Below are 23,804 nucleotides of genomic sequence, written 5' to 3' on the forward strand. Positions count from 1 at the left end.
AAGAGATATAGGAGATAAACTTCTTCATCATGGGGTAGGAGGGGAGAATTTGCAATCTGATGTCAATGGCTCCCTTAGTCACCCGTGACTCACCACTCAGCATCATCTCTCAGAAGCCCACACCCTGGCTTTTCTGTCCTGTAGCTGGGACCTTCTGCCTGTCTCCATTTCTTCCTATGTGTTTTTCATCCCTTTCACACTCCTTGCCACTCATGGATGCCTCTTCTCTTTGTCCCTATAGGAACTTCCAATCCTGCTTTAGAACTTACTCCTTCAGGAAAGCAACTCTCACTGAAGTGTGGGAGCGGAGCAGAGAAAAGACTAGGTAGGAAGAGAGCCGAGCTCAATTTTATATTCCACAACTAACTGGTTCTGACTTTCTCAACAAGTCGCCAAAGCTAGCTGAGTCCAAGTTCCTCATCTGTAAAATAAAGATGTTACCATCTGTCCCGCCAACCCCATTTTACTTAATTTCATTGTGCGTGTCTAAAATGAAGTTACAAATGTGCGAAAAGTCCCTCGTAATTTATAAATTCCATACAAATTTGAGGGAATATATATAATTATTATTCTTATTAAGTCCCCTCCCCCTCGCCCCGATTATTTCCTTCTGTTGATTCCTGCAGCCCTTGCAATTTAAATGGTACTTCTAAAAACGCCCTCTTTTATTTCCTGGTGTATTGTTTCTGTACTTTCTGTTTCCTTTTGAGTGTCTAAGAACCCAAAGGCTGGCACTATGTTGCTTATTTCTTTTCTGTTTTTCCTAACATTTAATTTATTTTCTGACCCCCTGAGATGGAGTGATGTGTCGAGGCATTGCATTGTGTTTATACCCTCTTTTGTTTTCCTCCCATGACTGCAAGCATACAGCCCAACTTAGTCTTGAAGAAGTCAGGCTGCAGCATCAGTTAACGAGCATAGAAAGGGCCCAGGTAGGAACCGGAGGCAGAGGCCTTCTGTGATGCTCTTGGCAATGACTAAGACCATGGCCTGACCCTTGGAGATGGAGAGGAGGGAGTCTCATAGTGCTTGAGATTGGGTTTCTTGTCTTTCTGAAAGGATAAAGATCAAAAACCAAATTAATTTGACTTTAAAAAATAAAGAAGAGAAACATTTCTTTCACATCCAAGTTTGTGGACTAAAGCTTTACATAAAGAAAGTGCTTAACACGTAATTGTTATTACAGTATGTAATACCTAAAAAGACTCTACAATCCATCCGGTCCGATAAACTTAAGAGAAAAATAAAGCCTAGAAAGTCTTAAGCTATTTCATTTCTTAGGGGTAGAAGTGGGTATCCTTCCACTACTTATTTAAAGACAACTAAACAGGGATATGCTAATAGCTTCAATTAAAATTATGGAAGAAGTAGTCCAGGAGACGTCTTGAAACTTGAAACTTTGTCAAATTGAATTAACTATTTTAAATACTCAGAATTTTCATTAACATACAATATATGTTACACTTACAATATTTGTTGTGTTTGAAATTCAGAGAGTAATTTGTTAGATTCTTTCTCTTTTAAAACTCTAGGATCCATCCTTGGTGGATTTTATGACAATGCCTGTAAAATGGAGTAGCTATAAGGAATTATTCACTGTAATAGTTTGCTGGAGTGCAGTGGCATGATCTTGGCTCACTGCAAGCTCTGCTTCCTGGGTTCATGCCATTCTCCTGCCTCAGTCTCCCGAGTAGCTGGGACTGTAGGCGCCCACCACCACCATGCCTGGCTAATTTTTTTTTTTTTGTATTTTTAGTAGAAATAAGGTTTCACCATGTTAGCCAGGATGGTCTCCATCTCCTGACCTCGCAATCTGCCTGCCTCAGCCTCCCAAAGTGCTGGGATTACAGGCGTGAGCCACTGCACCCGGCCTCACTGTAATAGTTATCTACTGCTGTGTAACCAATATCCCTGAAATTTCACAGCTTAAAACAAACACATGCTGTCTCACATAGTTTCTGAGAGTCAGGAATCTGAGAGTGGTTTTGTGCAAGGTCTCTCAGGAGGCAAATCTAAGATGTTGGTACCTCAGCCATCTGAATGCTGGGCTGGGAGTGGAGGGTCCACTTCCCCAAGGGCTCATTAACATGGCTGTTAGCAGAGCCCTCTGCTTCTCATTATCTATTACTAGGAGGCTCAATTCCTTACATGTTCGCCTCTCCATAGGCCACTTGAGTGTCCTCAAGACATGGCATCAGATTTCTTCCACAATGAGTGATCTGAGACAGAGAGAAAGGATCAGATAGGAAAAGAGAACAAGCAATAAATCTAAGAGGCTTTTACTCACACCAACCAACTCGGACACCAACTGGGTGTCCAACAATTCTATTCAATTCTGATACCAATTCCCAGAGTTAGTGCAGACACCCCTGGGTCAAGGGCTTAATCCCACAAGACTGCCCCTACTTCAGATGCCAACTGCAGATGGGGTGTCTTAGGCTACCTTTCAGAGAACAGCACCTCCCCAACTCGGACATTTCCCCAACCACATCCCCGATCCCCACCAGGCAGCCCAGGATCAATAATTTGCTAGAATTACTCACAGAACTCAGGAAAGCACTTTACTTGCTATTACAGGTTTATTATAAAGGATACAATTCAGGAACAGCCAAATGGAAGAGATTCATAGAAGGTATGGGGGTTGGAGGCTTCCATGCACTCTCCATGTGCACCACTCACCCAGCTCCTCCATGTGTTCACCAACCCAGAAGCTCTTCTAAACCTCCATTGTTTAGGGGCTTTTTTGGAGGTTTTATTAAGTAAGCACAATTAATTACATCACTGACCATTCAAGATTAACTCAATCTCTAACCCCTTTTCCCTGGACCTGGAGGTTGAGGGTTGGGGCTGAAAGCTCCAAGCTTCTAATGAAGGCTTGGTCTTTCTGATGACCTGCCTCCATCCTGAAGCTATCTAGAGGCTTGCTAAGAGTTGCCTCATTAGAACACATATGCTCCTATCACCCTACTACTTTTTTTATATATATAGAGACAGAGGGGTGGTGCAGGGTAGATTTAATTTACATAGTAGCAACTCAGGGGCCAGTTAGAGCTGGCAGAGTTGGGGAATCTATAACCCTAAATGGCATCCCTCCTCCCCTTCCCCCTTGGAGACCAGTCCTTACATTTGGATGGGGCTCTCTGGGTTGTAAAGAGGATAGTCCATTTTAAAAGAGAGAGAGATCTGAGAATAAGGCTGTCTCCAAGTCAGGGGAAGTCCAGGCCTGGAGATAGTTCTCTGTGTGGTGTTCCAGGGGTTTGAGGGAACAGGGGTTCCTCAACAGGAGTTCTGTGCCAGGCACTATGGACAAAGATAGAATGTCTTTCTTATTATACCACAAAGCCACAGTACCTTTTATGACCTAGCTTCAGAAGTGACATGCCATCACTTCTGCTGTATTCTCTTGGTCACAAAGACCAATTATGATACATTGTAGGAGGAAACTGCACAAGGACTTGAATACCAAGAGGCAGGAATCATTGGAGCCCATGTTGGAGGCTGGCTACACATCCACCATGATTTTTCTTCCTTTATCCACAGATGTTTCAAGGAAATCTGGTGTCCTTTTGAATGTGGTTTGAATATGCTCATAATGTGATTCCTTGGCTAAATGATGACATGTTATCTATTTACATTACTAAACTCTTGGTGGCCCTTGCACATGTGAGCTGTTGAAACAAAAGCTTGCTTGAAATTCTCACAGGAATTCTCAAGGCCTGAAAATGGGCTATGTGTCCCATTCAGACTTCTGAAGGCAACCTCTGGCAATGGAGAGATGCCTGGCCCAAACCACAGGACCTGGGCTGCACTAATACTCTTGCTGCTGAATTGTGCCATGACCTCCAATTTCCCATCCTTAAGATCCAAGAATCAAGGGAGATGATCTACATTGAACCTTCTTGTGCCAAATTAGAAACTAGCCTAAGAAGGCTTAAATAAAATTGTTTGAAAATTATGATAAGGACTTGATCAGATAGATACCTTTTGGTGAAGGTGAGATCAAGGATCTAGGAATATGTTTAGTAGATTTGTAGAACTTACATTTCTTTTTAAAAAGAAGTTTATTAAAATCATATATGACTTCCCCAGTCAGTCACCACATACTCTAATTGACCCATAAAATGTTATCTCTGGCATGACACTTTATAATTGACCAATATGGTTAGATCACAGATCATATAACTAACAAGCAGCCTTAGAAATTTCCTACTTTCTCAATTTATAGACAGACAAATGGAGGTTCATCAAGATTAATGACTGTCTCCAGGTGACAAAGCAAGCTAGTGGCAGCAGCAGCATGTAACTCAGAACATCTGGATCCTTGTCCCTTTCCACCTACCTACTATACCAAGTAGTTGGTGTGTATTTCCTCTATCACTCTAAGTAAATATCTACTTACCTTTTATTTAAAACAAGCAAGCAGACAGTTTGAGAAGGAGAGCATTATTGGCTTGAAGGGAAAAGTGCCAATGTGTCTAAGAAAATATTTTCATTTAACAGTGCAGGCCTAATTAAGATTCAGCCCTCTGTTTTATAAATCTTGCAAATGCGTAACCTTGTTCTTATGAGAAGCTGTTTTGGAGAACCATGAAATATGGGCTTGTAGCCCATTTACATTGTACTCTGTGACATGTGAGGTATTGATGAAGCATTGGAAGGGGTACACTGGCCTTTCTTTAAAGAGAGAGAAGCTGGTGGAAGATAAGTGATAATTCTGCAGACAGGCAAAAGGCCTAGGGAGAGGATGCCAGGAGTATGCTGGGCTTCTGCCAAACATTTCTTTGGCCACTTTGTTTTCCTGTCATTTCTCTTTGTCTTATCTTATCCCTTTCAAAGCTTTTTGCACTGTCTGTTATAACTGTGGTCATAATTTGACCTAAGAGAGTGCTGTATATTCTCCACCCTCAAGATTATTATTTAAAAGTTTTCCAGCTTACATGTAAACAAAGACTGTTCTTTTTGCAGTCAAGATAATATTATTATGGAATGGTTCATTTGTGTGCCGAGTGGGAGTAGACTTGAATTTTCTGCCGTTTCCTTAAAGGAACATGATGGTAATTTACTTACTTAGATGATTTAAAAGACATAAAAATATTTAATCCATAGATTACTGATTCATAAACTTCTTTACCTCCTCCTCTGTCACTGGCAATTATATTTTCTAGATTAACCTAAATGAACTATTAATGACCAAAAACTGGACTAATTACATCTACTGGGGATGGTTTTACTTTTAGAGGAATTTTCATCTGTAGACTTCAACAGTAGAAAATGAGCTTCCTCCTTACCTGTTTTGGTGAGGAGAAAACAGTTGTACAATACCTGATTTGCTAGATTTTCATTAAAATTGCAAAGTTACCAACTGTTATCTGGTGGAGGAAAGCTACTTTTTTTGCTTTTCCTCATTATTCCCTTCATAATTTCTCTTCCCAGTTAAAGAGCAGTGTTTCAAGAACTCATAAGCATCAAATCACCTCCTATATTTGGGTATGAACATATATATGCCATTACCTATTAATGTATATTATGTGTAAATCATATATGTATATATAATCCTTATATAATATTTTCTCTGGATCCAAATTCAACAATAATTCAATCTCCTTCTGCCCAAAATCTGAAGTATATGTATTTAAATCATACTTTCAGCACCTTGTTTCTGGTACAATTAAATGGAACATTTGTAATGTTGAATCCTTTTACCTTTGAATGTCATTGTAATCTCCAGTAATTTCCTACAGGACCAAGCTATAAATTATACAAAAATAAGCATTAATACATTTTACTCCTTGAATTATTACGGAACACTCTGCTTTTTTCTAGCCTATGTTCATATATTTGATTCTGGTTCACACATTTATAGAAAACATTATAGGTGAGAATTCAATGTGTTCTTCCTATATTCATTGAACTTACATAAACACTCAATACAATAGCTTAAAGTTGTATCATGAATTTTCACTGACTGTCAGACTTGGGACATTTAAGTGACCATATTAGTTGTGCCATAACACGGATTGTGTAACAAATAGAAGAATGGAGTAACCATAGGGTTTCTGTCTGTAACTTTTGCGTCTATGTTACCTTTACAGCCCATTACATAGATCTTAATAAATAAAACACTTGTAAATGAAATAAGAAGATATAGAGGGAAGGATATGAATGTATACCATGCTGCAGTGGAAAAACCATGTTGAGATATATATTTGGGGCAGAATTCACTAGTTTATTGTGACCAGCATGTTCCTACATGTTTGGAGCTTGATGTAATGTACAAATATGAGTCTACAAGTTTAAAAACAGAAAACAGAAGACTTTTCAGTGGCCAGTTTTTTCTGCCTATTTAGGTACGTATTCGCTTAAGCTGCCCCTAAATTGAGGAGCAACTCCCTTAAACATTTGAAGGTACATATACGCAGGTCTTAATTGACCCCAAAGGAGGCCTTTGAACTTCACTGCTTCTAAAACATATTTAAAATTTAAGTCTTTCTGCACTAAAATAGCATATATATGTGATGTGTAAGTCAAAAGGCTTACTAAATCTTTATCCCCGTAACCCAATTAACCTGGATTTATGCCCTACTTGCTCATGCAGGAAGTCCATAACTGTAAATGTGCCCCTCTCCAAGTCCTCCCAGGCACTCCCAGGTGATACCGCATGTGTACTCAGAAGCAATTTTCTCAGCACCTGCATTTACTTTACTTGAGGCTCCACCAGGAAGGACACCCTCTCCCACTGCCTGCCACTGCCCCTGTGGCTTCAGCAGCCCTGCTGCCTTTTGCAGCATCCATTAGGTGCTGCATGTGTGCTCTGTTCTGCCTAATGACCCTGTCTTTCTTCCTGCTCGATCCAGCCTGGTCATTATCTCCTGGTGGCTGCTTTGAGGATATCCAGACTGTCCAGCAGCCTGCAATAGAGTGAGGAGAATTGATTTCTTCTGTGGTTAAAGAGGGGTCTTACTAAGGAAGTATTTCTTGACTCTCAGTGAGTTAGACAGTTTAACACAAAGGTTCTATTTTTGCTTCTAGCCCTTTCTTCCTCCAGGACCTAGCCACGTTTCAGGATACAGGCCGTAGGCTGACTTCCTACTCTTCACCAATGCCTAGGAAACGTATATAAGCAAGATTATCCCCACTGGCTCTCTCTTCCATTAGGGTGAGTTCTTCCCAGAAAGATAATTAGTGCCACAGCCTAACCCTTCTAGACTTCTACTGGACCACCACATAAGTTCGACACACATGCCCAGCTTTATTTGAATTCCAACAGTGGATTCACCTTTAACCACATCTCCTCATCCTCAAGAAAAACTCTGGGCTCTATTTGAATACATGTTTTTTTATGCCCTTAATACCTGTGTGATGAAAAGTTGCAGACATGTCTAAACCTTAATGATGAAGAGTAACAGGCTGAAGCTCAGGCAAACGCCCCCGCCACCATGTGTACATTTATCATTTTTCACTCTTTTGAAGAAATCACTTTCATCATCTGCTTCCTTCCTAGATATATCTCACTCATTCGGAGTATAATAATTTAGTCTTGGTACCATTTTTCTTTTCCAAATTCTTAATATAAGTAGCAATACTCTATGCTAAAATATTGAAAAAAGAAATTTTCCCAGCACTTACGTGTTTTTCCACAGCTGAAAATATAGTTAATAAGCTGCAGAAATGCCCAACATGATTGTTTCCAAAGTAGAGAGCAGAATGAAAGAAAGCAGGACAGGAAAGGAAACAGATACTACTGTAGCTCATTTTGAAGTGGATTAAGTTATTTAAGGAATGACTATATGTTATATGGCAGTTAAAAAGATTTTAAAACAGCTAGATATGCTCAGAGCATATGTCTTTACATGGCAAATGGCACACAAATGACTGAGGCTTTATCGTCATTCCTAATGTAGGCAGCACCTAGTGGTGAGAACATATGAAATCCCAGCCTAAGGAGGCAACAGCAAAGGCACCTGAGTCAAGGTTGCACATAATTGATTAGCCTACCCACTGCCACCGTCCTACATACACACACACACACACACACACACACACACACACACACGCATGCACACAAGCACACACAAACATGTAGGAGTCTAGGACTTAGTTACAGAATCTGTGCTACAGATACCAGTCTTTACATTTGTCTACATTTCAGCTGCAAGATACCTTGCCTTTTTTATACCCTACATGTCTAACAATAAATGATTTAGTTATGACAACATGCTATCATATGTATTAAAAGATTTTGCAATACATTTTTTAAAAATGGGAAAATAGTCACAATTTTTAAGATTTGGGAAAATACTCAAGCCAAAACATTAAGTGAAAAACCAGATTATAGCACTTTGTATACAATATAACGAACGTGTGTGTGTGTTTATATGTACAAAGTACACAAAATATACTTATCATTAGGCTGACGTAATTACAGGGAATGTTTTTGATAGATTTTTCTATAGGGTCCATATTTTCTGTAATGAACATACATTAATTTGATAAAGAAAAAATGTGGCCTTGTATAGAAACGTAAATCTTAGAACAATGTTTACAGATAGTTAAGACGTAAAGGATTAGTGCAAATGTCACAGTCCTGGAGCACTAGAAAAAGCATTAAATAGTTTGCAAGGAAGGAAAGCTTATCCCATAAGAGCCACTAAAGTGAAAGTTGATAAATCAATGTCAAAAGTTATGTTTTTGGAGAGACTGTGGTTTTGATTAAGCTGAAACAAAGTGGCCACATTGAAGTGGAGCCAGTGCCCGATGGAAAATACATGTAAGAACTGCTTAACAGTGGCATTGAGAAAAAGGTGCAGAAATAAAGATGCCAGGTGAAAATAGAGTGTGAGGGAATGAAGGGGAAATGAATGAGAACAGAAAGGAGAGATGTGAGTTTCTGCTCCTTGGCTTTATCCTGAGTTTAGAAAATCATGTCTATAAAGTGGAATTAGTTGGTTAGGAGTTGAAGCTGATTGGTAGGCATTGGAATGGTTGTTCTGGAGAGAATGATATACTCTCCAGAGTATAAATTTCATAGCAAAAGCAATGCTCTTTATGCTGCCCCTGAGGCCATACCATTGTCCCTTTGCATGTTTGGATTTGTAATTGGCCCCTTAAAAGAATTGAGCCTGCAGTTTGGTGACCAACCTAAGGGCTCATGGTGACTAAGACAGAACTTTCTACTGAGAAAATAAGCAATTTTGAGAACAAAATACAAATACAATGCAATCATCAGTCCCTTGCCTACCTAAACAGAAGAAATTCAATGTATTTCTTCCTTTGGGGCAAAGTTAACACAGTACATTATTACATTAGAGAGTAATGCCGTTAAAAATCGGTGAGGTGTAAGAAGCTCTTATCCAAAATGATGCCATGAGGGCTAAGGTTGTAGATACCTCATGCTCCTTTTCATAGTTATTACTTCTTTTCTCTAATTTCCTGGATTTCTACTGTGGTTTCTCACTGTCTCTAGTGGTCCCCAAACCCTTCTCATTTGTTCCTTGCATTGTATCTGGGCTTAGAAAATGTGTCAGAGAGAAAGGGCTCAATGAACTTTCTTGTGAATGAAGGGTATGGGCTTTAGCACTCAGACTTTTATGAAGATGGTTTTGGCAACTCAAAGGCCTTGTTTATTTTTTATTTTTTATTTTTTTTTTGGTGTCTGGAATGTTGAGATTGACAAATAGGTGAGTTATTATAAATGAAATGATATCAAACAATTGTTCTCTTGGCAACTTGCTATAAATCTGCAACTTTTACAACTTCTTTTCTAGATCTTGTAGTTAACAAATGCCTTAACAATGCTAATGTAGAATTTAAAGCATAGAACACATTTCAGAATGTTGTAAATGTTTTTATGAAAAACATAATGTTGGTGAATTTTAAACTCTGTGGAGCCTACCATTAGACTTTATTTTTCCATTATTTTTGAGATAAAGAATACATCTGATTATTCTAAAATCTAAGGAACTTCAAATATGTACCTCTACATAATTTGGAGCTAAATAACTGTTTGCAATCACAGCATTGAGAAAGCCTCTACCCCCACACATACACCGTCACACAATAATCATATTTCACCTCAACTCACTCTATCCTACACCTTCAATTGGTGGAAGGGTAGGTTTGAGCCTCATTTATTCATTCATTAGGTTACATTTTAAGTTTCCACTGCATTTTCAGCACTGTTTTAATGAATATTTCGTGCATTCCTCATCAAATATTTATTGAGCCCCTGTATGCATCAATTTCCTTCCAGGTTTTGAGGATACAGTAGTGAATGTGACAGACAAAGCCTCCTCAGTCAGAAAGCTTAAAATTCTCTCGGAGGAAGATAGCAAACAAATGCACTCATAATACAAAAATTACCAGGTAGTGCTCAGTTTTAGGGTGAGATACTAAGATGAGTAACATTTAACATTTTTCCTTTGTCGTCATGGTGCTTACAGGACAAATTGTAAGTAAAGAAAATATTTAGAAGTACAGTATATCTGGACCATTCAGAGACCCCCAAAACTTTATTTTTTAATTTTTTTTTTTGAGACGGAGTCTCACTCTGTCACCCAGGCTGGAGTGCTGGAGTGTGGTGGCGCGATCTCAGCTCACTGCAAGTTCCGCCTCCCAGGTTCACGCCATTCTCCTGCCTCAGCCTCTCCAAGTAGCTGGGATTACAGGCGCCCGCCACCACGCCCAGCTAATTTTTTTATACATATTTTTAGTAGAGATGGGGTTTCACCGTGGTCTCAATCTCCTGACCTCGTGATCCGCCCGCCTCGGCCTCCCAAAATGCTGGGATTACAAGCGTGAGCCACCGCGCCCAGCCACTTTATTTTTAAATGAATCTTATTCTTTCAAGGAATATTTAAATTTAGTACCATTTGTACAACTTAATGCCATTAATACTAAGTGACAGTTAAGCCTTTTTATATCCAGTTCTAATTCATTACAAAATGTCAGCTACCCTGTAAGTAGAGAGGCCCCAAAGATCCCATTACAGAAATCTAAATAAAATAAAACAAAGCAAAAAACAAATGATGAATGAATCAGGTGAAAAAAAGAAACACACACACAAACAACCTGCCTCAAAACATAGTTACAAAGTGCGTGCCCAAACCACTTCCCTGGCATCTCTCTGGATGATCAAGATTCGCAGTGTCCATTGCAAACACCTCATGCAGCACACTTAGGAGTTTTGTCAGCTCCCTCCAGTCATGGCAGGCAATACATAACCATTCAGATGGTTCAAATGGGTCAACATTGCTGCTGTTTGTTGTATCAAGTGCCAAACTCCTTCTTTAAGTTGACAACCCTCATTTAATTCTTTGCAGTTCAAATCCCTCTTTCTCTCCAGCTTCTTGTTCCCCTCTGAAAGAGCTGAGCTTCCTGTCTAAAGTCATTTGGATCCCAGCTGGAGACATGAGACCTTATGCAGTCAGCCAGTCAGTCCCTCCTCCCAGCTCCAGTGTCTTTTACACATCTATCTTCATAGTCCTTCTGATCTCACTAAGTACTTTGGTGCACGTATCAACTCCCCAGTATAATTTGTGTTCCCTAAGAGTTCCCACCCTCCAGTCTCTGTAGATCCAGGACCTAGCATGGTTTAGGATCTACAATCATTGAAATACAAGGCTTAGGAGTCAGACCCTTCTGGGCTTGAATTTAGACTCTGCCACTTAGCATGTGTGACAGTGACAATTTACTTATTCCTTGGAGCCTCAGTGCCCTCATCTGGAAAATGGGGTTAATAACAATATCCATCCTACAGGTTTAATCTGGTGATTAAATGAGATAACATTTCTCTTAATGTCTGGCCAATTTTCGTCAATTATTTTTATTATTGTTTCCTCCATACATTCAACAGATACATTTCTCAAGGCCCTAGTATGTGCCAACCACAACCTGTTAGGGAATAAGCCTGAAATGATTGGAACTCAGGGTGAATCCCAGGGGCATTCTAAAAATGTTTTCTTCAACCTAATAAAGTTGACCTTCCATATACACAAATTATGTATGATTCGACCAACCACAGGTCAAAAATATTTGGAAAATAGCAATAAAAAATAATACAATAATAAAAAATGCAAATAAAAACAATGCAGTATCACTATTTACATAGCATTTACATTGTATTAGGCATTAGAAGTAATCGACAGTGATTTAAAGTATATGGCAGGATGTATATAAGTTGTATGCAAATACTCTGCCATATTATATAAGCAACTTGCGCATCTGTGGATTTTGGTATCCACAGGGGTCCTTTAACCAATGGCACAGATACCAAGGATGACTATACATGACAACTTCCATGACTCTAGTTTTCTCACAGTTATTTTCTCTTTTTTAACTGTAAAAATTAAGGCTTCATTTATACACACAAAAACAAGTATTTTTTTACGAAACTGTCTTCTTGTGTTTATTTTGCAAAGATGAGGAAGTTTTAGGGTTTTGTTTTTCACCTATTGCAAAAAAAATCCTTATCAAAGAAAACAAATAAGGAATACCCAAGGGTCACGAATTCTAATGTATTTGAATAGTTGGCTTCGGGACCTTTTATTACCACATCAGTCCAAATGAGTATAATAAAAGGAGAGAAAAGTGTGCCACACATAAGAAGGAAATTCTATTTTATTTGACACTCATGCAAGCCCTGTACAGAAATTGTCTCTTTGCGAAAGCATTTGCATTAATAAAGCAAAAATATGAAAACCATTTCAGATGGATTGTTAAAAATCTGAAAGGGACATGAGCTTTGCATTTTAAATCAAAAGTATACAGTGCCATGAATTATCCAGTTACTGAAGAGCACATTTTTCCTCTAAATGTCTGGGAAACTCCTAACACATGTTGAGGCCCAATTCAAATACTTAAATAATACCTCCTCCCTAAAGTCTTCCTGTAAATTAGCTGCATCCACTTTGGGTCACCTTTAATCCTTTGTGCATATTCAAGTATGATTACGTCTTATTTGAATTAATATTTACCGATCTCTCACCCTCTTTCATTTGTTATATACTCAAGTGTCTAGACCTTGACTTAAAATCTTTTTTTTTTTTCTTTTTTTGAGATAGAGTCTCTCTTGCTCTGTTGCCAGGCTGGAGTGCAGTGGTGCAATCTCAGCTAACTGCAGCCTCCACCTCACAGGTTCAAGTGATTCTCCTGCCTCAGCCTCCCAAGTAGCTGGGACTACAGGTGCGTGCCACCACGCCTGGCTAATTTTTTTGTATTTTTAGTAGAGACAGGGTTTCACCATGTTAGCCAGGATGGTCTCGATCTCCTGACCTTGTGGTCCACTTGCCTCAGCCTCCCAAAGTGCTGGAATTACATGTGTGAGCCATCATACCCAGCCTAAAAATCTCTATTTTCAGTGCTCTACTTGGCTATGACACAATGGTAGGTGTTTAAAAAGAGAGAGCGAGTATAAGAATTATTGACTGTATGTGATTGCTCTCCAAAGAGGAAAAAAAAAAAAAAAGATGATCCTAGACAAGGTATTGTTTAAGTGTGTAGGTATTTATGTGGGTAAATGATGCATCTGTGAAAGGTTTGGCTACGACAGAATTTGTGTGTACTTTCTGCCTACTGGGACTCTGAGTTGTCTATGATGGAAAAGTAGATGTTGGAAATAAAAGACTGTACACCCAGTGTTGTATAGGCTGTACACATTTCTTTATTAACACCTTACTCTCTTTCTCCTTTATGGAATTCAAACCCCAGCCCTCTTACCTTCTCCCAACAGCTCTATGACTTCTAGACAGCATTGCACATATGTTGAGAAGTATTTTCGATCTCCTTAGCAGCTTCAACTGAACTGCTAAGAAACAGCTGGTTTGGGCATACATGCTTTTTTACACCTGAATTTCTAGTCACGTGTTAGCCCAGGGCCAAGACTTGCAGCAGCAAACTTAGCTCCCAGGCATGATCGTTAGCAGGAGTGAGCTGTTGCCTTCTATGAGCCCAACAGTGAGTTGCTTGCCAAAGTCATCACTCCACCTTGATCTCCTGGTTAGTCAAGTTCAGTCAAGATTTCCCTCAGAAGCTGGAGCTCGTTACTGTTTCTCCAGTCTCTTCCAAGGTTACCTACCTTCTCTGGCAGAGGATAAGGAATTCATCATCTTTCAGACTGCAGTCTGTTGCTTGGAGGCTTGGAGGAAACTGGCTGAGAAAATCATAGTTAGTAGTTGATAACAGGCCAATGAAAATTAGCGAGACTAAGGGGACTACGAAAAGTAGTTGCTAATGGGACAAAGTTTTACTATGTCTTCCATGATGAAATTCAACCTCTTCATGGCCTCTTTAGGAAGGGGTCAGTAAAAACTTCTACTATTTTTAAAAGTTGCCACAAACAAAGTTTGATTTGCTTTGAATGTGACACCATAACAGAAGTAGGCTTTCAGGAAAGAGGAAAATGGCCAGTTTTGTATTTTTGGTTTGGTTCTGTTTCTTTGTATTTTTTTCCCACTTTAGAACATACAGGAATGTTGTAGAACATTCTCTCTTTCTTTGAGAAACATTTAGCACGGTTTCTAAATATACCCTGCAGAGTTAAATTCCTGTGTTTGGTTTAGACTGAGATCTGTTGACCTAAGGCAAGACTTCGACAGATTCAGTTTTTTCACCTGTAAAATGGGATGGTACCTACCTCTTAGGGCTGAGCTAGAGATTAATTGAGTTAATCTATATAAACACTTAGAACATTGCCTGGCACAAAGCAAGAGCTAGATGCTGTGTAACTATTAGTTACTCTTAACATCTCCCTCTCATTTGAGTTCATTTCCTCCAACTGATATTTCACTGGGCATCCATTTGGTATGGTCCTGATAAGATGTCTCGTCTAATTCCTTGTCTCTTCTCCCTTAATTGAGTTGATTCTCAAGGTTAATGCATTTTTATTGATTTATTCTTGGGAACACAGAAGACAGTTCAGAGAATATTCAAACTAGGAGAAACAATTTTGGCCCCAGTGTAGCCTGCTGGGTGACCTAACCCTTGCTGGGCTTTAATCCTCTGTCTGTAAGATGGGGATAATACTTAATTGGCACTCTTTCAGTGCTTAGATGGCTAACAACAACAATAAAAAGCTGAGTAATTTGTAAATATAAAGAGTTAATAGGTACTTCATAACTGAAATCAGACTGTCCTAAAAGAGCAGCTCATTTATTTGAAAAACCATACAATCCGAGGAGGTTTTTGCCTGACCTAGGCAAGCCACCCTCTGACCGAGGCTCTAAAAGGACTGCCCTGGAAAGCAAAGGAGGCTGGACCAGCAAAGCAATAGGCTGGTGCCATGGCAACACTTTCAGAAGAGACTTGCCTGTGGCTCTGCCTACACAAGCCTCTGAAAAGTAAAGCATTCAATCAATGAGTTGCATTGTCCACTGGACACTTCAGCCGATCAATGTGGCTGATCTCGTCACTGAATTAATTGGGTCACTTTTGTGTGATGTAGCTTTAGGGATTTTTGTGTGTTTTTCCCATTATAGAAATAGTAGAGTTAATCTCCAGTCTGTATTTAGCTTCACGTTTGACCTTTGCCACCTCTCTGTGTTGGAAAGGGCAAAAAGAGGAACATAATGGAATAAGAATAATCTCAGAAATAAGTGTATGGTGCAGCCAGAGTTGAATGACTGCTACAATACAGAATAACTTCATAGGTAACATTGAACATGTTAACTGAGTGTAAATATCAGATTCTTCATCTATACAGTAGGGCTATAATAGTAACTTCTTAGGGAGGTTTTGAAGATTCAGAGAGATGATATGTGTGATTAGGCTTTGTGAAATATGTAGTAGTCAGATATTATAAAAGGAGCTGCTCTTTATCCATCTGGGTCACTTTCCAGAGGGAGGTAAAGCTGGCATTTCTGGAGTTGAACCTATGGGCCAGAAGGGCTGTGAACTGGTGCACTTTTGGGTAAAGGATAATTGAGGAGGAACTCAGCCGACGTTGCAGGATTCAAGCACAGGCAGTTGTGCAGGCCAGGTAGTTTCCAAGGCAGTAGCACCCTGGCAGAAAGAGCCAAACCACTAAGGGAAGACCTGTGCTAGTCATCATTTAGGCTAGACAAAAACGACTTGCTTGCCTTCTTGTTTCCTTTCCTCTCCTTTGGAGGGAATTAGGCTCCTCACTTGTGTGTGTGTTGGTTGAGTGGTGGAGGAGAGCATTATATTCATCTTCAAACCTTTAGTTAAAGCAACGCAAGAGGGTGGGGTTCTCCACACCCATAGCTGACATCTGCTTTGACAAGCAGTGGAATGGATGGTGGCATTAGATGACAAGTCGCACTTGGCCAGTGGGCCTGCAGGCCAGAGCCCAGGTATGAGGACGTGTTCCTTGGTCCTAGATAAAATAAGTGGAATAAGTACAAAGTAGTGAGCTTTAGCCAAGCTAAATTTCTTTTCTTTTTAGCAGTGTTCCTTAAAGTGTGGCCTACAGACCAGCAGCATCAGTATCACTAAGGAACTTGTTAGAAAGATGAAATTCAGGCCCACTAGACCATATGAATCAGCATCTTGGGGAGAGGCCCAGAAGTCTGTTTTTAACAAGCCATCATGGTGATTTGGTTTGCTCGCTAAAGTCTGAGAATCACTGACTTAATGGAGTGCTCTTTAGTGTGAATTTGAGGCACCAAAATGAAATGAAATTACTTTTAAAAATGAAATGATGATGAAAATGAATGGAATTTTTGTCCATGTTATAACATCCTTACTTGGAAAACTATAAGACTAGCAACCCTATGTCATGTTTATTGCCCTCAGAAATCCAAAGGTCAAAAGAAAAATTTCCTTCAGAGACCTTCCAAAGCTTAGATTTTATTATTTTAATTGATTTTTGTCTCCCTATTCACATTACATCTGCTGTTCAATACAGGATGTGACTGAAAGGATGTGTCTTAGAAAAGGGGTTGCGGTGACAGTGGAACCAGGGGTTACAATATGACACCCCAGCCTGAACTCACCACTTGAGACATGGTTCTAGCAGGTCATAGCACAGTGATCCTCCCATCTTTTGCCCAGACAGCAAGCTTCTGTTAATGTCATCTAAGACTGCACTCCCTTCCTAAAGGGCAGTCTCACAAGATCAGCACCTTCTGCATGCCCACCCTGTGCACATGCAGTGAATGTTTTTGAATTTTTTAAATGGATATGTCCATTTGCAAGCGATCTCACACCTGGGAGTGCCAAGCAGGGAGAGTCCCTGAGTGGAGGGCATGTGCCCAGGCTCCTCACACCCTCTGGAGGCAGGGGAATGAGAGTATCTGCTTCAGCATGTCAGCACTTGGTTCACTTTATTCTCAATATCAAGACAATGGGGACTTGTAATTTCAGGGCACAGGGGAAATAATAACTAATATTTAAAGTTTAAAAATTAAGATGAACATGCAGCCTCTGGTGACTTATTGATCTGGTCCTGGGATATTTTTTAAAAAGCAAATCAGCCAGCTGTGCTGACACTCCGTATATTCATCTTCCTTACTTCATCATCCTGTCAGTGTGTCATGATCTAGTGGGTACTAAAGGCAGTAAATTAGGAAGTGGTCGTTGTGGCTGAGGGGTTTCACTTGCCTTTAAAATATATATATATATATACACACATATATATATATATTCTTTGTGCAAATATTTTATTGTGAGTGTGGGTTTTTTTTAACCTTTGGATTAGTGGGGTTCAGAGGAATATGTCTTAGCTACTCATCTCTCCAATGTGGCAGAGGGAAGCTGAGGCAGGTAAGACTCCAATCTGTCCCCAGGCTGGGGTCTAGTGACCCAGGTTAAATGCCCTGGTGCATTCCACCTGTGACCCAGCTCTTGACAGCACGGAATCCTGCCTTTGTAAAATAGGAGATCCCTAATGAAGAAGAAGAACACACAGGGTGATATGAAAAAAAAACCCTGTGTTGCATACACAACGGGCATATAGACTCATAGAGATGGGCTCTTACATCCTTGTTAGTTCACAGTCAGTGGTGAGAAAATAGCCTAGAACTAACCTACCCTGTTAAAGTTCTAGATGGTAGCATTTTCTCAAACTTCCCCTAGGTGAACACATGTGCATGCATGCTCAAGCACCCACTACAACAGCAGGTGAGAACCCCACCAACTAAAACATGCAGTGCTCACTTGCATCATAGATGCTTGTCTCTGACTTTTTGCTAAGTAGAACAAAAGGATCGCCAAATGTCATAAACTGCAGTCACGATCAGAAATAGAAACGTAGGAGTTATAAGCACTGTATGTCCAAACTCTTCCCCCAGGACAGATTTTTTTTTTTAATTTTAGTTGAATTAGCTAAATACATAAGCCCGGTGAATCAACAGTGATGACTCACTTTAGATCTTCCTTGGCAAGGAAGTCTAAACCTGTGCAAAGAGAGCAGCTGTGTCTGGTAGAGCCAGTTTGGGGCTATGGGCAATTTCCGGGGTCCCCAGAGTGCCTGAGTTCATAGCCACACTTTACGTCACTTTCACCTGCAGCTCTTGCAAGCTCCTGAATCCCTCTGTGCCCTAGAGCATGAAAAGTGGTAAAGGTCTTCCTCCACACCCACAGCCCCACCCTCTCTGCACAGGAGATCCTGATTTGGCTGTCAGCTCTACATCTTCCCTTTTATGTGGCTCTAAGGACTTCACTTAATCTTTTTGCCTCAGCTTTCTCACCTGTCAAACAGACATAATTCAATCAATTCCACCTTCTTCACAATGTTGTTATAAAGAGCTACCAAGGTAGTACATATAGAAGACATATAGAAGCACTTTGTAAGCATGAAGTGTCTTATGAAAGCTATTATTGGCCTTCAAGCACAACACTTTAACCCCATCCCTAATTTTCAGAGGCTATGAAAGCTAGTGGTTGCTGTCTCCTAAAAGTGTGGGATAGTAACCTGGAGGGTTCCGTTCATGAGGAGGAAGTCCCTGGTGGCACTACTGAGAGGGGTGATTGAACAGGACCAAAAACTCACCTAGGACTCATCAGGGTAGATTGCTGGTGGTTGAGGTTATAAATAACTTACTGACCAAAACTTTTTGAGGTAGCTTTAAATCAGTGAGTCTTTTGAATCTATGCATATGCAGGTGAAACCCAGCCAAAAAAAAAAAAAAAAAAGAAATGAAAATATGGGAGGGATTGCTGACTCAGCTACCTTCATTCACAGAGAGTCTCAAAACGTGGGAATAACAGTAACCAAAGTTCAGCTTCCTCAATTGCAAATAAAGCTGAAATTCTGTCTGATTTCCATGAGGTTTCCTCTAATGTTACCTCTCTCCTCAGCATGGAACCGGAGTATGCTAAAGCCAGGAAATTCAGCCTATCCAAAGGAAGCATCACAGAAGCCACTGTAGAATCAGCCAAATCTGCAGGAGTTCAGTTTGTCTTTAGCGTCCTTGACCTTTTAATGCATCTCTTCAACTTTGCTTCTCCTTGCTCCTGATATCCTCTTAGGAATTCTGCAGAAGCCGACCCCAAAACCACCATTTGGGTATGAGCAAGTTACTAAGAAAATACTCCTAGGGCACACCAGTAAGGGAGAGGGGGTTGCAGGACAGGAAAGGAGAAGTCAATCAAGTGTGTGATTTTGGCCAAAGTCCTAGCTCAAGCATGATCCCCAAGGGGAGCTCTGGAGCATAAATTACATTTTAGCATTTGTTCCACTGAAGGCTTGGGAGCTCAGCTTTCAAAGGCGTGCAGGGGTTGGTATTGATAAGGCCACCTGAGGGGTTTGTAAACTCTCAGAAACTTCTGGCATTCTGCAAGAGCAGTTCCAGAAGTCCTTGGAAAGTCCCCTCAAGAGAGTTGCGGGCATGGCCCTCAGAAGTTAAAAAAACACAAGCTGGGGAAAGAGTGCATGGAATCAGTAGGAAGGATCCCAGGGAATCTAGAGAGAGCTCAACCAGTCCACTACCCACTGTAGTGACAACCCTCTTTCTTTAAAACTGCCCTTCTCTTCCCCCCTCCCTCTCCTGAAGCCCTGTCTTCAAGTCAAAATAGTGATGTCAAGTTTCTATCTGTGTGAAAGGCATAAGTAGCTTTATTTGTAGAGTTTTGTCCATGCTTCTTATCATGGTCCATGAGCCCCTCACCATGCTGGTCCTGCCTTCCAAGGCCCAACTATTGCCCTGCCCAGTCTCAGCCTCATGTGTTAGCTGGGTCTTCTGTTATTTGTAGCTAAAGTAATGATACTGATCACCACACAACAGTGAACATTCATTGAGTGCTTATTTCTGTGCTAGTTTATGGACTTTACCTAAATTAACTCATTTATTCCTCCCAATAACCTCTTTTATATAGGTAAAATTATCATCCTTATTTTACAGGTAAGGCAACTGATACAAAATAATGTTTGTTGTCAGTAGTAAAATTTATCTTGATTTGTAAGCCAATGGAATAATTAGTTTTAGAAAAATACTAGGATGCATCATCAAGCAAATAATTAGCAACTGCTTGGAAAATGAGAGTGGTGTTGATACTACCAGCAGTAGTTTGTGAAGAGCAGGTAAGTCAGATCAGTTTCATTTTCTCCCATAATAGAATGGTAGCCATGACAGACATGGGAAAAGGTACGGATGTTATGTATCTTCTTTCATGTACTCAATAAAATATTTTCAAGGGCTTCTGTGAGGTAATGGAAGGAAACAAGAAACAGACCTATGTCCTGTTTCAGAGTATTTTGTAGCCCAGAAGGAAAAATAAGACATCCATATAGATCATTGTGATATACCTGTGCTTCAAATCTTGCCCTCTCTATAATCCATTCTTCACACTGAAGGGAAAATAGTTTTTAATTTTCCCATGAAACGAACTGAGAATGTCAGAATCCTGCTTTAAAAATCCTTCGATGTGTCCCCACTGGAATCAAAGTCTAGGCTCCTGACCCTGGCTGACAAAACTCCCCGTGAGCTGGCCCTGCCAGTCTCTCCAATCTCCTGTCCCACCAGTTCTCCTGATCCCCCTCTGTCATTCAGAACTGCCGTCCGTACCCAGGAGAAATATGATCTGTCCTCACCTTCAGACCTTTGCACCTATTGTCTAGAACGTTCTTCATGCCCTTTTTGACCTGGTTTACTTGTACTTGTCCTTCATATCTCACTCAGCATAGACACTGCGTGTTCTTGGAAGACTTCCTTATCCCCCAAGGCTGTGTTAGGAGCCGTACTTGCATGCTTCCCTAGCTTCAGGTATTTGCCCATATGCTCACACTTATTCTACTGCCTTGCACATTTCTATTAGCCTAGGGGAATAAGATAAAAAGAGTTATTAATGGTGTTGACCTGAGAAGCTCTATCAAACACTTTCTGGTAGGACTGTGTCATTTTTTATTACCTCTGTGAAAAACTTACAAATATAGTCATCCAATTTGTACATAATGTGAAAATAGATGGGGTTACCGGAATTCTAGATATGGGGAAAAATAGAAAGTGTTCTTGAAAGATTAGAAAATGATTTCATCAACAAAGCTGAAATGTAATATGGCAAATGCCAGGTCATCCTCCAAAGAACACAAATCTTGTAACACAAATATAGGATGGCTAAGCAGAAATATAGTGGAAAAACACTTAGGACAGATAACTAACCATGAGATAAATGTGAGTCAGCAATGAAGTGCCATTACAGGAAGAAAATGCAGGACAAATTCATATTTCCCAGATGCATTAAATGAGGCTTGATATATTTGGCTGGGAAGGGAATTTTACCTCCACCATGGCTTTAGCAGAGTAAGGCATCTACTTTCAGTCACCAAGTGATAAACTAATGAAATATATTTTGTCAAATTAGTGAAGAAAATGAGATAATTTCACATAGACTGGAGAAGGGAATTATTGTTTCTGAGACTCAAACAATGCGGCTACATCACACTTTTAAACTGTTTTCCAATTAACAACATGCTGCATTAATGAACATCCTCTCCTTCAATTTTTACAATACGTTACAGGTTAACCATGATTATCACCATTTTAGAGATTTTTTAATAAGAAAGCTGATTTTTTTTTATGTTCAGAAAAGACCAAATGAAGTTAAGATTCTGGTTGACAAATCACTTTTCTCCCAAAGATTTTTTGGGGGGAGAAAACCTTGCTCATGGAGAGGAATAAAAATTCTGAGCCAAAACCCAGTACCCAGCTTATGGCCTAATTGTTATATGCTATGATAATTGTTAAGGGGTTGAAGTGAATGAATGCATAAATACAGGAGTGATAAAATATTTAGACGAGTTATTACTGAATGTTGAAAAATAAGAAGAAAATAGGCAATCATCTGCCATGTGTGGTTTAGATGGGTGGGCTTCACATTTTTTATGTTCCATCTTTATCAGTAAAATGCCTATTGAAAATATGCACAACAGGACTGGGTGCGATGGCACATGCCTGTAATCCCAGCACTTTATAAGGCTGTGGCAGGCAAATTGCTTGAGCTCAGGAGCTGGGCAACATGGTGAAACCCCGTCTCTACAAAAATAAAAATTACAAAAAAAAATTAGCCAGGCATGGTGGCGTGTACCTGTAGTCCCAGCTACTTGGGAGGCTGAGGTGAGAGGATCGCTATACCCCAGCCTGGGTGACAGAGCCTGACCGTGTCTCAAAAATATTAATAATAATAATAATAATAATAAATTTTGAAAAAAGAAAATATGCACAACAAATAGGAATGTTTATTTATTTATGAATTATATGCATGATTACGTACTGTTAAACTTTATGCAACATTTACAAAAACTTAATTTAAAAGGGTGTGATAAAATATAGATAAATATGACTTCACTATTTTCTTCCTGTATTCCAATACGATCACTTTCATAATCCTAAAGTAACCATATCTTATTTTGAAGGCCATTACTTAAAACATTTTCTAGCTGAAGATTTCTCAGGGCTTGAAGAGACCAGGGATTATGAAAAGCCAGGAAGGGGGCCTGGGGCAGGTGAATGAGATTGAGCCTTAGTAGACTTTTAAAATATATAACTTGTGCCCAATTTATAGGCTTTCTAGGCAGGTAGAGTTGGAAGACTTCTTTGGTCAGGAATGACTGATAAGACTTAAGGTCCTAGGAGGGCATAAGCATTGCTCACCTAAGAGTTGTGAGATGTGCATCACAACCGTGTGGGCTCTACATGAAATCAGGGGTCTGTCTAAGGAAACTTCCCCAAATGTCCAAGGACAGAAGAGCAGACACAGAGTTCCCTGGATGTGCTTACTAAGACACTATGGTTTGTGGTTTATTCTTTTATGAGAATGTGAGTTCCCTGAGTGTGTGGCTGCCCTTCCATGGGCATGTCACTGCTACTTCCACTCAGAAGTGCTCTTCTTAATCAAAGTGGCCAGTAACCTACATGCTTATCTGAGTGTGGACTTTCTGAATTCCTGTTGTCATTGGCTTCCCAAAGACTTGGAGAAACTGAGGACATTCCATGAAGCCCTACGTTTGTCATCCTATAAAAACAAAAAGAGTTTTCAATGTCTTTATTTGACCAAGAAAACAAGAAAAGTATATTAAAGAAGGGCTCTGAAAAACAGTGGGATTGTTATTGTTGCTGCTGCTGTTCTTATTTTTATGTTTTTCTGTTGCCCTTCTACACAACACCTTTGTTTCTGAGCTTTTCCTTGTCCATTCTGTACTCTTTTAATTTTGAAATTGAATAACAAGTCCCCTTGTTTGATAGAGTGTTAAGCAAGTAAAATGAAGTCAGCCTTGAATTATCTACCAAAAAAGAAAAAAAAATTCAATGCTTTGGCTAATGGGGATGTTCCAAAATGCATGCAGTTTTGTGTGTATGGAATGTTCTGAATTTAATTTAATTTCCTAATAGTTACAATCATTTGACCGAGAACAG

The 23,804-nt window shown here is 39.8% G+C and overlaps 1 protein-coding gene and 1 long non-coding RNA gene across 2 annotated transcripts in view; one reads left to right on the forward strand and one right to left on the reverse strand.

The window, feature by feature from the left end:
- The window catches only part of SEMA6D (semaphorin 6D), a 590,140-nt gene that overhangs the window by 419,045 nt on the left and 147,291 nt on the right, over positions 1–23,804 (forward strand). The gene's annotated exons all lie outside the window — the stretch shown is intronic.
- LOC105370804 (uncharacterized) lies at positions 751–3,327 on the reverse strand. The gene is made up of 3 exons (XR_001751513.2): positions 3,125–3,327; positions 2,149–2,219; positions 751–1,052 (listed from the first exon to the last, which is right to left on the reverse strand). It is a non-coding gene; the product is annotated as an uncharacterized LOC105370804 (long non-coding RNA).

This window comes from Homo sapiens, chromosome 15 (assembly GCF_000001405.40).
Source record: "Homo sapiens chromosome 15, GRCh38.p14 Primary Assembly".
Classification (NCBI taxonomy): Eukaryota; Metazoa; Chordata; class Mammalia; order Primates; family Hominidae; genus Homo; species Homo sapiens.